This window comes from Homo sapiens, chromosome 1 (genome assembly GCF_000001405.40).
Source record: "Homo sapiens chromosome 1, GRCh38.p14 Primary Assembly".
Classification (NCBI taxonomy): domain Eukaryota; kingdom Metazoa; phylum Chordata; class Mammalia; order Primates; family Hominidae; genus Homo; species Homo sapiens.
In genome coordinates, this window is record NC_000001.11 from 232,940,336 (window position 1) to 232,956,547 (window position 16,212).

At 43.4% G+C, this 16,212-nt stretch overlaps 1 protein-coding gene and 1 long non-coding RNA gene across 9 annotated transcripts in view, besides 7 other annotated features; one reads left to right on the forward strand and one right to left on the reverse strand.

Annotated features, from left to right (window-relative positions):
* Window positions 1-7,884: 7,884 nt before the first annotated feature.
* On the reverse strand, window positions 7,885-11,214 carry LOC107985361 (uncharacterized). Its single transcript, XR_001738525.2, has 2 exons — window positions 10,993-11,214; window positions 7,885-10,821 (listed from the first exon to the last, which is right to left on the reverse strand). It is a non-coding gene; the product is annotated as an uncharacterized LOC107985361 (long non-coding RNA).
* Window positions 9,998-10,097: an enhancer, noted in NCBI's record as "active region_2735". NCBI's record gives its function as "activates an Ori minimal core promoter by ATAC-STARR-seq in GM12878 lymphoblastoid cells {active_cell/tissue: GM12878}" and the evidence as "EXISTENCE:reporter gene assay evidence [ECO:0000049][PMID:35858748]".
* Window positions 9,998-10,551: a biological region, named in NCBI's record as "H3K27ac hESC enhancer GRCh37_chr1:233086091-233086632".
* Window positions 10,010-10,551: an enhancer, noted in NCBI's record as "H3K27ac hESC enhancer chr1:233086091-233086632 (GRCh37/hg19 assembly coordinates)". NCBI's record gives its function as "activates a minimal SCP1, AML or CMV promoter by ChIP-STARR-seq in naive H9 embryonic stem cells {active_cell/tissue: H9 hESC(naive)}" and the evidence as "EXISTENCE:reporter gene assay evidence [ECO:0000049][PMID:30033119]".
* NTPCR (nucleoside-triphosphatase, cancer-related) overlaps window positions 10,276-16,212 on the forward strand; it is a 33,272-nt gene continuing 27,335 nt past the window's right edge. For 2 of the 8 annotated variants that reach the window (NM_032324.3, NM_001329453.2), the window contains exons 1-3: window positions 10,276-10,409; window positions 15,222-15,384; window positions 16,012-16,108. In NM_032324.3, the coding sequence (NP_115700.1) occupies window positions 10,376-10,409; window positions 15,222-15,384; window positions 16,012-16,108 (294 nt within the window). In that variant the 5' untranslated portion in view covers window positions 10,276-10,375. Of the gene's footprint in view, window positions 10,410-10,506; window positions 10,798-15,221; window positions 15,385-16,011; window positions 16,113-16,212 lie in introns of those variants that run through there. The other 6 variants (NR_138026.2, NR_138028.2, NM_001329452.2 and 3 more) reach the window with 5 other exon arrangements.
* Window positions 10,552-11,091: an enhancer, noted in NCBI's record as "H3K27ac hESC enhancer chr1:233086633-233087172 (GRCh37/hg19 assembly coordinates)". NCBI's record gives its function as "activates a minimal SCP1, AML or CMV promoter by ChIP-STARR-seq in naive H9 embryonic stem cells {active_cell/tissue: H9 hESC(naive)}" and the evidence as "EXISTENCE:reporter gene assay evidence [ECO:0000049][PMID:30033119]".
* Window positions 12,220-12,719: an enhancer, noted in NCBI's record as "H3K4me1 hESC enhancer chr1:233088301-233088800 (GRCh37/hg19 assembly coordinates)". NCBI's record gives its function as "activates a minimal SCP1, AML or CMV promoter by ChIP-STARR-seq in naive H9 embryonic stem cells {active_cell/tissue: H9 hESC(naive)}" and the evidence as "EXISTENCE:reporter gene assay evidence [ECO:0000049][PMID:30033119]".
* Window positions 12,220-12,864: a biological region, named in NCBI's record as "H3K4me1 hESC enhancer GRCh37_chr1:233088301-233088800".
* Window positions 12,655-12,864: an enhancer, noted in NCBI's record as "active region_2736". NCBI's record gives its function as "activates an Ori minimal core promoter by ATAC-STARR-seq in GM12878 lymphoblastoid cells {active_cell/tissue: GM12878}" and the evidence as "EXISTENCE:reporter gene assay evidence [ECO:0000049][PMID:35858748]".

The window sequence follows — 16,212 nt, forward strand, 5'->3', positions numbered from 1 at the left end:
TTCTATCTATCTGTCCACACTGGGGTGATAGAAATGAAAAATCTAGAATCCCTGTTTCACTAGCAGTGAACCTGCCCTAAAATGCCACAAGTTATTTATTAGTTAGATGCAAATCAATGTTTCACATATCCACACCACAGGTTTTGAGCCCACACATGGTGTTAAGAGGGGATGATGAAATTCAACCCAGGAGAAGAGTCAGTGCACATTGCCCCCTCTGGGAAGACTGATGATATACAATAAAAGGAAAAAGAAATGATTCCTAAAGTTCTCCCTTAATTTTCAGTCACAAAGCCTTTATCCACTTGTTGGGCAGATGGAGCTGAAACCATTCCCTTAACCAGGAATATACGAGAGGGCAAGTGAGGCTGTGTGGGGTGCCAATGTTGCTGTGGGGATGCACACAGCTAATTAAAACCACAGCCCACTTTCCCCTCACAGCACTCTGCAAACAATGTTGGTGATGATGCAGTCTGACCAAGTTAAAAAGCAATTAGTTTCCCCTGCAGAGGATTTACAGGGCAAGACAATGCACCTTGAATAAATACCATTGAGTTTACACCTACATCTGAAGACGGATACTTCATGATGTAGCAGATTCGGCTTCAGCGCAAGGACAATGACAGGCTCCCTCCAAGGACCTGCAGCCTCACACCCAAAGTGACTTGGGGGTGAGATGGTGAGCCTGCTTAGCCCCCTCGATTACAGATTGACCCAGTATTCTTGAAGTTGGCTTGCGTATGAGGACATATGTGATAGTAATCATTATTCTAGAAAGTCCTGGGGAGAATGAGATTAAAATCAGGCAGAGAGGGTCCTCCATTATTTCTGTTCTCATAGCTATTATAAGAACTATTTTAGAACTCTTATCACACCATGATATAATTCGTTCTCCTAGAAGAAGGAAGAGCAACCAGTGGACCATGTCTGCAGTCCTTGTGTGACCCTTCTTGTTTTGTGATATTGCCCTCAATTAGTTTTCTGGACAAAAGTTAAAAAGCTGCAACCATGAACAGAAGTACAGTGTAGAGGATGAGAGAAAAGATTCTGGTGCTCAAATTCCTGGGTTTGAAGCAAATGTCAAACACATACACACACACACACGCATATAGTCATGTACTGCATAATGGCATTTTGGCCAATGACAGACTACATATACAAGGGTGATTGGGCATGGTGGCTCATGCCTGTAACCCCAGCACTTTGGGAGGCTGAGATGGGAGGATCTCTTGAGCCCAGGAGTTCAAGACCAGCCTAGGCAGCATGGTGAGACCCTGTCTCTAGTTTTTTTTTAAAAAAGATCACCATACTGTGTTTTTGGCATATCTTTTTGTATTTAAATATATTTAGATATACAAATACTTAACATTGTGCTATAATTGCCCATAGTATTCAGTACAGTAACATGCTGTGCAAGTTTGTAGCCCAGGAGCAATAGGCATAGCCTATATCCTGTACCCTGTGGCCTAGCAATAGGCTATACCCTATAGTCTATTACATCCATAGGTGTAATAGGCTATAACACCTAGGTTTGTACAAATAGACTCTACCATGTTTGCACAGCAACAAAATCACCAAAGGACACATTTTTCAGAATGTATCCCTGTTGCGAAGCAATGCTTTGTGACGGTGTATGTAAATGCTTGTGCATGGATGGATGGATGAGTGAATGGATACAGCCTGCATCGCTGTGAATGGATACATGGACAAGTCCTTTAATCTCTCTGTACCCTGGTCTCTCCATATATAAAATGAAGAAGTGTTGTGATGATTAAAAAAGTCAATAGAAGTTACAATGCTTTTAGAACAGAGCCTGGCACTTAGTAATCTCAATGTGAATGTTGACTATTATCATTTGTTAAATACTTGGAAGTATTAAAAGGTGGGTGGTTAAAATGCAACAGCAACTCTCTTGCTACACACTTATTCAATAAGGTAGGTAATCTAAAAGGGTGGGAAAATAACTCTTTACCGTGGAGCTCAACTAAAGATATTCTCTTTTGGAATAATAAAAAAAATGGCAGCTCTTGGACATTTACATTTTTATTTCAAAAATGGGCCTCAGGTATAAAAGGCAGTGTTGTTTTGTTTGTTTTTACTGTCTTAGTCTTCTCATTACAGAAGCTTTGGTCTCTACTATTTACCACAGTATCCAGAGCAAAATAGGAGAAGGAAGGAAGGGAGGGAGGGAGGGAGGGAGGAAGGAAGGAAGGAAGGAAGGGAGGGAGGGAAGGAGGGAAGGAGGGAGGAAGGAAGGAGAAAGGAAGGAATAAAAGGATGGAAAGAAAGAAGAGAGGGAAGGAGGCAGGGAGAAAAGGAGAGAGGGAGGAAAGGAGATAGGTATATTCAATATCCAGCTCTCTTTAGATCAGCTGTTGAATATTCATTAGACGCAGTGATTTTTTTTTTATCTCTACTCATCAGAGGCAGATTCAAACCAGAACAAGTGCCATGTTATTTTGCAAACAATAGATTCTCCACTGATGGGATCCAAGTGGAACGAATGAAAATGAACCTGAACAAAACGTAGCTGCACAGTGTCAGGATTCCTCATGACTATAAAGCCAAACAGAAGCTGTGCCAACAGGCCTCCTTTTCTCCTGTACTTCTCGGCTTGTCCTTCACAGCTCACCCTTATCTTTGTTTCCTGCCATTATTTGTTATGAGGTTAACGAGAATGTCCTTCATTTTGGCTGGTTCACCATTCTTGTGGACACTTGCAGTGACGCTGATCGACTGTCATCTGCAAGGGTTTTCTGCATCTGCTCTGATAATGGGCCTGCTTTTTAAAAAGTACACACAACACAGCCAAAGGAGTGCGCTCAGAGTGTGGCCCAGGGCAAGGAACACTGACCATAGTCAGAAAAGTGTCTTTTATTTTCACTTATCTTCCTGGTCTTTACTATGAGCCAAAGCTTCCACAAAACTCCATTTTCCCCATCCCTGTACCACAACACAGTATGTGTGAGTGTGAAGCAACTGGTCAAATAAAGTGGGATGTATAAAAATATTTCCCAAACCTGTAAACCTCCATGCATGTGCTTGCATGCGCACACACACATCCGCACAATTATTACTCCTGTTACCTTGGAAGGCACCACATCTTATAGTAGATGCTAAAAGTGAGTTAGCATCTACTATTAGAGGCTAAGCGTGAGTTCACGTCTCACCCTTAGCACCTAATACTTCTCTGACTTTTTGGGCAGGATACTCAGTTTTTCCAAGGCTTCACTTATTTATTTATAGAGAGGAGTTTAGGGGGAATTTCCCCTGCAAGGTTTATAAGAATTCAGCAGGTTAAAATACATAAAGTGCTTCCTTCGTGGGAGGTCTATTTTAAGGTGTAGTAGTTTTAAAACATGTTCACAAATTCTTTGATAGTCATCACGTGCCAGAGCCTGCGGCTGTGCTTGGCTTGGAAAGGTCTCCAGTGGGGGTGCAGTTGTGTAGGTGGGATATTAGATTCTTATTGTTGCATCACCAATGTGAAATAAAGCTGTAAATAAGACCCCAAGCTCTCCAGATGACGTGGGCTTCCTGTGGCTGATAGAGACGCCCACATTTGTAAAACAGAACCAAATGGCCATAGCAGGGTGAGAGAAGAGAGGTCACACACTCCTGTGTTCTCGGAAAGGCAGCTCTTGAAAAACATCCCACTTTCCACCCCTGAGCCAGAACGGTTCCTGTAATCAAAGCAAGATAAACTGTGGCCCAAATGCCCCCTCCCCCCAGTCACTGAACCCTAACGTTTAGAAGAAACATCTGTCAGAGACTTCTGGTTTCAGGCTTGAAAACCACCCAATCAGGCCTCAACTATTTCCAACAGTTGGAACTGAGCAAATCTGAATCCTTCATTTGCATAAACAGACTTGATTGAGAACCGAGGCAGGAAACTTTTCTGATGAAGTCGGACCCTTCCTTTGTTTGTGGAAGGGCATACTTTCACTTGAATTAAAGGCTGTGCTTCCCCCAACCTTCAGAGTGTTTTTTATTTTTTTTTAATGGAAAATGAAACTCTCACTTTTTCCTCTGAAGATCTCATGGTCTTTTGTTAACACAAGTTACTACTAACGTAACAACTTAAAACTCCATCTCTTTATCAGGTCACAGTTCTGAAGGTCAGAAGCCCAGATATGGTGTGACAGGGTTTTCTGTTTAGAATGGCTGAGTTCTCATCTGAGGGATCTAGGGAAAATTCAGATTCAAGCTCGCCCTCATTCTCTGCTGAATTCAGGTCTCTGTGGTTGACGGACTGATGTCCTCATTTCCTTGCTGACATCAGCTGGCTCTCAGCCCAAAGGTCCATCTGCACCCTTGCCACATAGCTCTCTCTCCTTTAAGTCTGCAAAAACGTGTTGAATCTTCAGATTCAAGTCTCTGATTTCTTGTGCCGGCACCAGCCAGAGAAAATGCCCAGACTTTATGATAAGGTCAGGCCTATCTGGATGATCTCTCTATCTTAAAGTCAAGTTAAGGTCATATAACGTAACCTAATCACAAGAGTAGGAATCTTCTATTATATTCACAGTCTTGGGAATTATGCATGGCATGTACAGATTGAAAGGCAAGAAATTTGGAATGCCATTCTAGAAGTTTGCCCAAAACAGGTAAGACTGCTGCTTCTCCCATCAGCACCCCTGGGGATGCCTTAGAGCAATTCTTTCAGCTGGTCTTCTCTTCCCTAGTCTAGCTCTATAACTTCAGGTGACCTTTGTAAAGAGAGGTTGACAGGACAATGTCTGTGTGCTTGATGTGGCACCACAGAATTGTGACCAGAGACTTCCCAGTGGGGCTCCGCTGTTCCAATATTTAGTATGTTGCACCAACTAATACACAGTTTTTTTTGTTGTTGTTTTTGTTTTTTTTTTTAACGGAGTCTCATTCTAACACCAGGCTGGAGTACAGTGGTGTGATCTTGGGCTTGGCTGTTCCAATATTTAGTATGTTGCACTAACTAACACACAGTTGTTCTTTTATTATTATTATTATTTTAGACAGAGTCTCGCCCTAACACCAGGCTGCAGTACAGTGGCGCCATCTTGGCTCACTGCAACCTCTGCTGCCTCCTGGGTTCAAGCAATTCTCCTGCCTCAGCCTCCTGAGTAGCTGGGATTACAAGCACGCGACACAATGCCTGGCTACTTTTTGAATTTTTAGTAGAGACTGGGTTTCACCATGTTGGCCAGGATGGTCTCAATCTCTTGACCTCGTGATCCACCTGCCTCGGCCTCCCAAAGCACTGGGATTACAGGTGTGAGCCACTGCGCCTGGCTCCGTTGTTCTTATTCGAAGGGGAACACCTAGTAGGTGAGTGACCTGCCCAACTTGCTTGGTCAAGCAAAGTCTTATGCCTATCTCATGGGGACATCACCCAAGGATGATTATCGGATGGTTACCTCAATGTACCACCTGTCCTTTAAAGCTGGGAAAGCCTGTAGGACTTTCCTGCTGCTCTGCCCCTGCTCTTTGTCTTCCCTGACAGTCCCATGCTGTCTATGGGGATATAATTCACTTATTCACTCATGTGCTTAAGAAAATATCAGTTGAGCACCTATGATAAGCATGTGCCAGTAAATGCACAAACGTTATTTCTGTAGCAGCTGGATTATTACAGCAGCATTCAGATTGGTCTTCCTGCTTCTACCATTGCCTTTCTGTAGCCAATTTCCTACACACACGACTGATGATCCTTTTAAAAGAATTTACATAATGCCATTCTTCTGGTCAAAACCCTCCAATGGCTTTCCAGCTGTTACAGTAAAAGCTAGAGTCCTCACCATGGCCTATAAGGCCTGAACCACCTGCAGCCCCTCTGACCTCACCTCCTGTGCATCTCTCTCTCCTACTCTGCTCCGGCCACACTGGTTTGCTTGGTTCCTTCTCAGGCCATGTGTTCCCACGTCACGACCTCTGCACATGCCAATGCCTCTCTCTAGACCGCCATCCCCCAGACACCGGCAGGGCTTGCTTCCTTCAACTCTCTGCTCAGATGCTGTATTCTCAGTAATATCTTCCCTGACCACCTTCTATGGAGTAGCACATCCACTTCCCTTTTCATTTCCCATCCTTTTATTTTTTCCTCCATGGCCTTACTACTCTGTGGCATTTTATTTATGTACTTGTCTGTCTGTGTCTCCCACCAGAATATAAGCTATAGCAGCACAGAGACTGTCTTCTTTGCTGCTGTATCTCCAGGACGTACATTTCCTGGTACACAGTGATGGATGAATGTGTTGTAAGTACCGTGCTATATTCTGGGTATAAAGAGATGAATAGCACAAGATTTTTTAGATTCTTTTTTTTTTTTTTTGAGGTGGAGTCTCACTCTGTTGCCCAGGCTGTAGTGCAGTGGCTCACTGCAACCTCTGCCTCCTGGGTTCAAACGATTCTCCTGCCTCAGCCTCCCGAGTAGCTGGGATTACAGGTGCCGGGCCACCACACCCAGCTAATTTTTCTATTTTTAGCAGAGACGGTGTTTCACCATGTTGGCTAGGCCAGTCATGAACTCCTGACCTCAAGTGATCTGCCCACCTTGGCCTCCGAAAGTGTTGGGATTACAGGTGTAAGCCACCGCACCCAGCCTAGATTTTTACCTTTGGAGGAGTTCATAACTGGGTGGCAGGAGAAGAGGCAGATGCCAGCAATCAGGGGGTGCTGTAAGGGAAGGCCAAGGGAGCAGAGGCTGGGCCTGGAGAATCACAAAAGCCTTGGGGAGCAGTAACAGTTGAGCCCATCCTGGAGGATGAGCAAGGAGTGACTGGGGAGAATGCGGGGGAGGCCTCTCACACCCCCTCTCACTTCCCCTTGTCCCTCTGCTTCAGTCATGGTGGCTGGTGGCTGTCCTCGATCCCCACTGGCTAGGGGTAGATGTGTTGCCCGGGTCACATGCTTCCTCAGAGTCAATCACTGAGGCTGGGAAGATAGAATGATCTCGTTGACCAGGCTTGGGTCATGTATTCCCCTTGGATAATGAGAAAGGGAGGGAGGTTCACTCCTATCAATCACAGAGCCTGGGAGAAAGGGGGTTCCTAAAAGGAGAATTTAGCTGCTATTTCCATACAGTGAAATGAACAGTGGGCTGGCCAAACAACACAATGGTCTCTCTTCCCACTTGGTTATTTTCACATCCATACTTTTTCTTTGTTCTGTTTTCAGTTTTCCTGTACTTAGGAAACTGTACCCTAAATATGCCAGAACTCTTGTTCTGTGTCCAGCCAGGAAGATGCCACAGGATGCCAGTAGCAGCTGGGCGTGGGGGACATCCAGGCATGCGGTGTAGGAAGGGGTGGGGTGAGGGTGTAGAGTCATCTCTGCTTCTGTCCTACTGGGTTACTGGCAGGATAGAACATTGTTCTGCACAGAGATTAGAACTCAGGGTATGAATGGCTCAGAGTTTAGGTACAGACTGCATTAAACAGTCATTCTATAACCACCGCTGACAAGACAACCAGCTTACAATAAAGTATTATTAGCCTTTGACTTGTTTGTAAGAAGGAATTATCTTGTTTAACCACATGAAACCTTCTGCTTTACTTCCCAAATGTTCCTTTAACAGTTTGATGACCATTCATCCTGGTTTGCTCGGGATTGAGGGGCTTTCTAAGACACAGAATTTGCAGTTTAAAAATTAGGACAGTTCTGGGAAAAGGGTAGATATGAAAACAAAATAAACAGTGTTTTTTGGACTTTAGGGTATTTTATAATTGTAGAGACTGTAGAGTTGTACCTACAAACTGTTTTAATAAAGAACTGTACTGCATCCTGTCATAAGTGAGGCTGCACCCAGGTGTTGCAGAAGAAATCTTTGGAATCACCTGTTCCTTAGGTAATTAATTCTACCTTGTGTGTTAGCTCAGGCTACTATAATAGAGTACCACAGATGAGTGGCTTAAACAAAAAAACATTTATTTCTTACAACTCTGGAGGCTGAAGTTTAAGATCAGGGTGCCAACACGACTGGGTTCTTGGGGAAGGCCCTCATCTTGGTTGACAGAGAGCAGTCTTCTCCTCGTATCTTCACATGGCAGAGAGCAGAGAGATAGAAAGCAAGTTTTCTCCCGCCTTTTTCTAAGGGTACTAATCACATTCATGAGGACTCCACTCTAGTGACCTGATTACCTAATTGCTTCTTTAAGGCCCCACACTTTAATACCTTCACCTTGTGGGTTAGGATTTCAACAATATGAATTTTGGGGGGACACAAACATCCGTCCATTGGATGTTGATTAGATAGGAAGCAAAAGTTGGATTCAGTATGGTACAGTACTTTAAGATCCCATTTATTTTAAAATTTGTTTCAATTTATGCCATCTTCTTTTGTTGTTAATCTCTAAGAGATATAAGCTATTTAATTTTTTGTTATTGTTACCTAATAACACATACAGGAAACTGTAGAAATTAAGCATCAAATCAATGAATTTTCTAACAAGAAGATATCCGTGGAACTACCATCCAAATAATTCATTTTCCATGGATAAAGTACATTCAACTATGGAGTCTTTTTTTCTGTTTTGTGAGACGTTGATTCACCATATCTGAATTCCATGTATCTTTGAGCTACTTAAACTGATGCCAGAATTCCAGGCACAGCAACAAAACAAAAGAACCCAACTTCCGGTGAGCCTTGCAAATCCAAACTGCTTTTCAGTGATGGAAAATGCTATCTGATTAACATTTAAAACGAGTACTTTTGATACAAGAGATACATATACTTTTTTCCTTTTTTTTGGAAGCTCCTCCTATGAATTTACTTTACTATATCAACTTTTCACTGTATTCAACATATATGGACTGCAAAATAAATCAAGGTGGAAGGCCCTACATTAACAGTTGGGATAATAAATAGTATACTGTTATAATAATAGAGCATTACAAATGTTGCAGAAATGATGGTGATGACAGCTATATTTTACAAATCCAACTTTGTTTTTTTAGATAATCATTGGACTGGCATATGTCTCAGGCTAAAGGGAAACCAAGAGGTCCATGTGTGGGCAGAAACCAATTAAGTTGAGCACTCACTGAACTGCTTTCTCAGCCAGGATGGGGAACGACTGACTACAAATTAAGCTGTACACATGTTAGACTGAAAGAGTTTACAGGTAAATGTGGCCCAAGGCCACTGCCACGTCATTCGTTGGCCGGAACACTTGCAGTGGTAAAGTGAGACGGAGAAGCTATTTAATTCTTTGCAAGAGGAGATCTTTATACACTTTGGTGTGAAAGTAAAGAGGGAAAACTGGGCGTCCTATGCATGGCTGAGGACGGGAAGCCTGCCTACACCAGTGGTTCTCAACCCTAGCGCACTTCAGGAACTTCCTGGAGTTTAGAAAGAAGAAAAAAGAATACAGGTGCTCAAGACTCGCTCAAGACCAATTACTCATGTTAAACAAGATTTATGGGAGGCCATTGTTTTGGACTAACCTCCTGCACTAGGTCCTAGCAGACTAGACCAAACCAGAATGGAGTCACTTGTGCCAAGTGCCATGTAACCAAACTGAACTTTGAAACAGGCCCGTTTTCCCAAAAAACAGGAGATTGTAGTTAACCTGAGTCAGTACAATAACGAAGTCCAATCTGTTTTAACCCTATAAGGAAAGTAACTTTGAAATACCCACTCTTTGTTTTGTTCTTCAGCCTTTTTTTGCCCATAAAGCCAACCTCCTCTGCACAACTCATTGGAACACTCTATTTGCTTTATGAAATGATCTATTTCTCGATTCTAGATCCTAAATATAAGCCAATTAGATCTTTAAACTAAACTTGTAATTTTGTCTTCTGACACTCCCTATTACTGCAGGTGAAACCCAGGCATCAGAGCAAGTTTAAAACTCCCCAGCTGATTCTATTCTGCAGGAATGTTTGAGAACAAAGTTGGAGTCATTAACATGGCATCCCCCTTTGAGGAATGCTTCCAGGTCACAAACCTTCTACAAAAGGGCTGTCCCGGCAGCCTTGGGCAATTTCAGCTCCTAGGTCCGGAGTCAAGGGGCAGAACTTGGGTGATGGCGCTGACTTGAAGCAGCAATAGTTTAATAACTGACGTTCTCACGCACTTATCTCTGCAAATACCCCACAAAAGCCCTGAACCCAGAATGAAACTTAAGAGACCGTACAACCCGCTCCGCCTATAGGAACTGCCGCGGCACAGGCGCCAATGCCGAGGGCTGAATGCGCAGGCGCGGACCGGGGACTCGGGAGAAGGCGCATGCGTGGTCTTGAGGGCGGTGCTTCCGGTCAAAGCACCGCTTGGGGGCGGGGCCTGCGACACGCGGTGGGCGGGTCCTGAGTCGCGACCCTGGTCCGGACCTGACCTGAATTGCGACCCCAACCTGGACTGCTCCCCTGACCGCAACCCCTACCCCCGCCCACCAGTATGGCCCGGCACGTGTTCCTAACGGGGCCCCCAGGTAACCCTGAGGGGATCCCCACCTCCAAGAGGTCGAGGGGGTGGGGGCGCGCGGGCTGCGGGCGACCTTGTGCTGTCGGGGAGGGTCTCCGGCTCCAGGGCTCCGGCCTCTGAAGTTCCCAATTTAAATGGCGGGCTTGGTAGTCTGAAGAGTTTGTACTCCTTCCCGGAAAACGTGATTTAAAAGACACAGGGCCTAAAGGATTAGAACACACTTGTGAGGGGGTCCTAGACTGGCTTCTTGATGAAGGGCAGAAACCGCAGGGGCCAGCGGCAGCGGTAACTCCTACTGTAGTGTTGACGTTGTGGTCTGCACAAATGGTATTTCAAGAGATCTGCGGCAACCGCGATGTGAAGTGGAGATGTCTAATTTCTGTTGATAGTCACAGGTATTTCCTTACTGTGGGTCTTTGCTACATTGATCGTGCAAAAAAAAAATGGTAAATTTTAGTTGGAGGACAGCGAAACTGAAGTTGTAACCTTTCTTTCCCATCTAAGTTCATCCCCCCACCCCCATCCCCATCTCCATCCCCACGAATTCCCTCCACAGCTGAGGCCAGAGGTGGAGAAGCTTTGGTACCTACAGGAGCCCTTCTCAGACACTCTTGCTTGTTCCTGTCGCTGTCCCCTCCTGATGTCTGTCAGATCCCTCAACCCTGTGGCCTGTGGAGTTCTCATCTGAGAAGCAGGATAGCGTTGAGGTCAGATGAGAGGTGTAGGAGGAGGTGCTTTTAAACCAAGGCGCTACCCATGTATCAAGCATTACTAAAAAGGACAGGTAGGCTGCATCAGATAGGCTAAAAAAAGATAGATGGGCTAAGAGTGGAGAAAGTGATTTCTTCAGCTCCTTTGCAAGGCAAATCTAATTTTGAAGTTTAGTGTGGGTTCAGATATCAAAGGCTGTAACCCTGGATCTAGAATTCTCTTTCACTTTATTTTAATGATTATGTTTAGTTGTAAGTAGCAAAGGCTACAGCTAATATTGCAGACTTTGGGATTTTGTCAGGCATTGGATGGGGGAGTTGGGGAGCAGGGGGTGAGGAGGAGGAGGGTGGTTTGAGAAATGCCTGCTATCTAAAGTCACTCCTAAGTATTGCAAAGAACTGTTTTCTGAAAGTTGGTTTGTCAATCCTTTATTTGAAACTTGGAATGCAGTTTGATACTCAGCAGGCTGACCCCAAGACAACTGTGTGTTTTATTAATGGAGGTGTCCTGTTACCGTGATTGTATTGATGGTGGTTCTTGTTTCTGCTTTATCAAAGTCTTACCTACACGTAGTTGAAAGACTCAAATAATTCTACAGTGTAGCTCTCTTAAACCTGTCCTCAAACCCACGCACCTTTGTCTTTTCTCCTTCTCTTCTTAATGTAGTTACAGCGTAATTTTCATTAGTCAATGTTTACAGTATTATGGCCATGTAAAGACAATCACAACAGAGCCACATAGTAATCTATGATTTCTTTTCCATTTATTTATTTATTTTAGAGACAGGATCTTGCTTTGTCACCCAGGCTGGAGTGCAGTGAAACAGTTATAGCTCACTGCATTCTCAAACTCCTGGGCTTAAGTGATCCTCCCACTTCAACCTCCTGAATAGCTGGATCTACAAGCGCATGCCACCACACCCGGGTATTTTTTTTTTTTTGTAGAGACCTGTCTCTTGTTATGTTGCCCAGGCTGATCTCCAACTCCTAGCCTCAAGTGATCCTCCCATCTGGGCCTCCCAAAATACTGGGATTATAAGTGTGAGCCACCTTACCCATCTTTTTTTTCCCTCTTCTTATTGAGACAGGGCCTCTCTCTGTTGCCCAGGTTGGAGTGCAGTGGCACAATCTTGGCTCACTGCAACCTCCACCTTCCAGGCTCAAACCATCTTCCCACCTCAGCCTCCCTAGTAGCTAGTACTACAGGCATGCACCACCATGCCCTCTAATTTTTTTTTTTTCCTTTTACACATAACTTTTTTCCCCATTAGGAGTTATTGTCAGGTGTTTTTATTTGCCTAGTTTCTTTCTGTTTTCTCAATATGTTCAGACCATCAGGTAAAGTCTCCTCTCAAAGAGGTCACTTTTTGTTGCATATCCTCTTAGTGCCCCTGGCACTTAGCATTTTTTCCGATTTCCAACTGTCTGTACCCATGACTCATCTTGGAGGGCTTTCTCTGGTCCCTGGAGCCCACTTGGCCTGCAAACAGAGCAGGCCAGAAGAGCCAGGGAATTCCTGTGCCCTGGGATTAGCCTTCAACCTGTGATTGGTGAAAGTTAGTTGATAAATTCCCTACTTTCTCACTCCTCAGACAGGATAACTGAGCCACTTGCCCTGACTTGTCCCTTAGGATTCCCCAGGGGGTTGAAGCTCCAGCTGCCCCCAGTGGAACTTGCTTGACAGTGCACCTCATGCTGGTGTCCTTCCCTTCCCTTTCTGAATTTCTTCCCTGCCAGTCCATCATGTTGTCACTGCCCAGGTTAAACTACCTGCACTTGAATCTTTATCTGAGGATCTGCTTAGGGGAGAACCAGAACCAAAATAATTCCAGAGCTTTCTGATCTGTTTGTGCCTGGTATACAGCTATCATCTCGAGGTCTCCTGAAGCAGAGGTCATTTCTTATCCAGACAGCATTGGGGTAGCAGCTTAACTAATGAAGAAAAAATTAACTGAAAGAAGATTCCTAGAGCTGAAGAAGCCAAAAGGGACTTTGCCCAAATGCTTCCTATTTATTGCTCTACTATGTTCTACACAACATACAGTCCCCACAGTATACCCTTTGTGAACAGGAATAGTTACCGTTGCTCCATTTTATCTTTTTCAAAATATAAACGGCAATTTTTGTTAGGATAAGAGTAAGACCCATTCAGTATAAGAATTAAAAAAAACAAGAAAAGTTTAAGGAAGAAAGTGACAATCACAGGGAATTTGAACATCAGAAATCAACATTGTAAATCTTTGTTCTGTATTCTTCTTGACATTTTTTTTTTCTGTAGACACGTACTTGACCATTCTTTAAAAAAAACATAATGGAATGGTTTCTGCTATTAACCTGCTTTTTCCATATATTATTTTCATACATTGTGGTCTATTTTCCATGCTAATAAATACATATAAGCAGTATATTTTTTAATGGTTGCATGGTATTTCTGTGTATTTATGTGCTATTATATACATGGTGCCATGAGTTAACATTCCCTTACAATCAACATTTAGGTTGTTTTCAGTGTTTTGCTATTATAAAGAATGTTGCAGTGAATGTCCTCTTTCACACATTTGTATTGTTGATGTTTCCTGAGGATGAATTCCTAGTCATGAACTACAGGGTGCTGTGGCAGGCGCATTGAAATTGCCCTTCAGAAAAGAAGTAGCAGCTTACACATTCGGCAATGCCATTACTTGCATGAAACAGATTCTTTAGTGACTTTCCTAAAGCAGTTGTTACTGATGGCCAGGGCTGGATTAGAATGTCATCATTTTATGTTCTACACAGTTCTACCAGCTGCATGCTCACTGTGGCTTACTGTAGCCAGAATCCTGTTGTGTTGCTGTTCATGTTCCAGAAAGCCAGGTGCCATTATTTTAATGTGAAGTGTGAAGATAGATACATTAAATAAGAATAATGGATCATATTTTATGTCAAGGAGGCTTAAAAGAGTGGGTAGTCTTAGAAATAGCATGATTTGCAACTCTGTAGTATCTCAAAATAGCTCACTTGCAGACATGCTAGGAGTTTTCTCTCTCTTTCCATTGTTGGGTAGTCATGATGCCACTTACTTAAATCCATATTGGGAACAAGGCTCATATTTTAAAAAGTCATGGTGACAGGTAAAGTCCCCTGTTGAAAGGTATGGACCTTATGAGGGGTATAGCCTTGGGTAAAATACCTAACCACCATGTACCTCAGTTTCTCCATCTGTAAAATATGCATAAGGATGGTAATTGCCTCAGAGGATGGTTGTGAGGACTTAACCAAGAAAATGCTTCCAAAGTGTGCTAGAACAGTGTCTGGCTCCATGACGTCAGTGATGAGTATTACTATATTAGGTAGCACCTGTTGGTGCTTACAAACCAGTGAGTTCATCAGAGTAGTCAGCTGACCAGGCTGGATGGACAGGAAGGATCAAGGTGGGGAGGCTGAGGGGGCAGAGGTACATAGGTTCAAACTGGGGAAGGTGTGGGGGATAAAGGTGAAGAAATGCTTAGAGACCCTGGAGAAGATGATGTTGGAAGGAGTTGCTAACCTGATAGGCTTGCTGTTATGAAAAAGTTTGAAAGTGACCATTAACAGGGATGCTAATGATATTTAAGAGACACATTTTCAGGAGTTACAACAATGTAAGTCAAAGGAGGAACAAAGTGATTTTCCCACTGTTAAGTGTAGGTCCGTTTGTAATCTCTTGAAAGCTGAAATCTTAAATTCCCAGCCCCTGACTCAAGTGTGACCAGTGTTACTTCCTGGGCAGAAAAATGGGAACTGTAAACCATTTCACAGGATGCAAATGGCATGGGAGAATATCATCAGGAACCTCTCAGTTGATTCTGGGATTGTGTACGTGACAAAATTAACAATGTTTCACAATTTAAAAATAAACCTCAAGATATCATTCGTGTTTTTATTATGCTTGTTTCTACTTGAAATTAAGCATTTTTAGCACCTGGAGCAATCAAAATTAAATTGAAGTTCATATTCATAAATCCATTTACAGCCCATTTCTCTACCCACCATAATTGCTGCCTCAGAGTCCACAAGTGCTGTGTGTGCTCTAGTAAGGGAATGTTTCCTAATGGGCTTTTCTTCTTTTTTTTTTTTTTTTTTTATTTTAGGAGTTGGAAAAACAACATTGATCCATAAAGCCAGTGAGGTTTTAAAATCCTCTGGTGTGCCTGTTGATGGATTTTATACCGAAGAAGTCAGACAGGGAGGGAGAAGAATAGGATTCGATGTCGTCACGTTGTCCGGCACCCGGGGGCCTTTATCGAGAGTTGGGTACTGATATTTCATTTCTGTGGTGTTCTATTATCTAAGCTCCCCTTCCATCTGTGCTTTGGGAGCTTTTCAACAAGAGCTAAATTCACCAAAAGCAGATACTCTGTTGGGTCCTTGGATGCCCATCTGCTTTCCCTTTAGGTTGAGAGTGTCTCCCTGGGCACAGGGTTGAGCCAAATGTTGTCATCTATCCTCAAGAATCTTAGGCCTTTAGGGATTTCTCAGAGAAAGAAAACAGAATGAAACCATCACATGAAAAAAGTATAAGAAAGTGATATTTTACTTAAAACTTGTTCACCAAGTCATAAACTCCTCTCACTTTATAATTCTTAGTCCTGTTTCTGGTGCCACTTTTCAAAGACTGTTGATGCAGTAGCTGCTTGGACCTTAAGAGATAGCCCTGCCATAACTGCAAGGCCCATTGTTGGAGGTGTGGACACTTTGAACAGGGTAGCTCTGTTCAAAGCAGAGAAAACCTGATCAGCTTTACAGACCACCGCATTTTGTGTTGGTCATTTTTAAGGATGATTTAGCATATGTGGAATGCCAGAGGCTCAGTGGAGCAGCTAAAAACCAGAAATCAATACAGGAGTTTTTCAACAAAGAACATAATGTCTTTTCCTTCAGGTTAGAGCCTCCACCTGGAAAACGTGAATGCCGAGTTGGGCAGTATGTGGTCGACCTGACTTCTTTTGAGCAGTTGGCACTACCCGTCTTGAGGAATGTGAGTACGTGATTTCTGCTTTTTGAACCCATCTGCTCTTAGTGTATTGTGGGAATTGCTAGCCATGGAAACAGAATGCCTTTTGCTCTTAAAGGCCCCAGTTT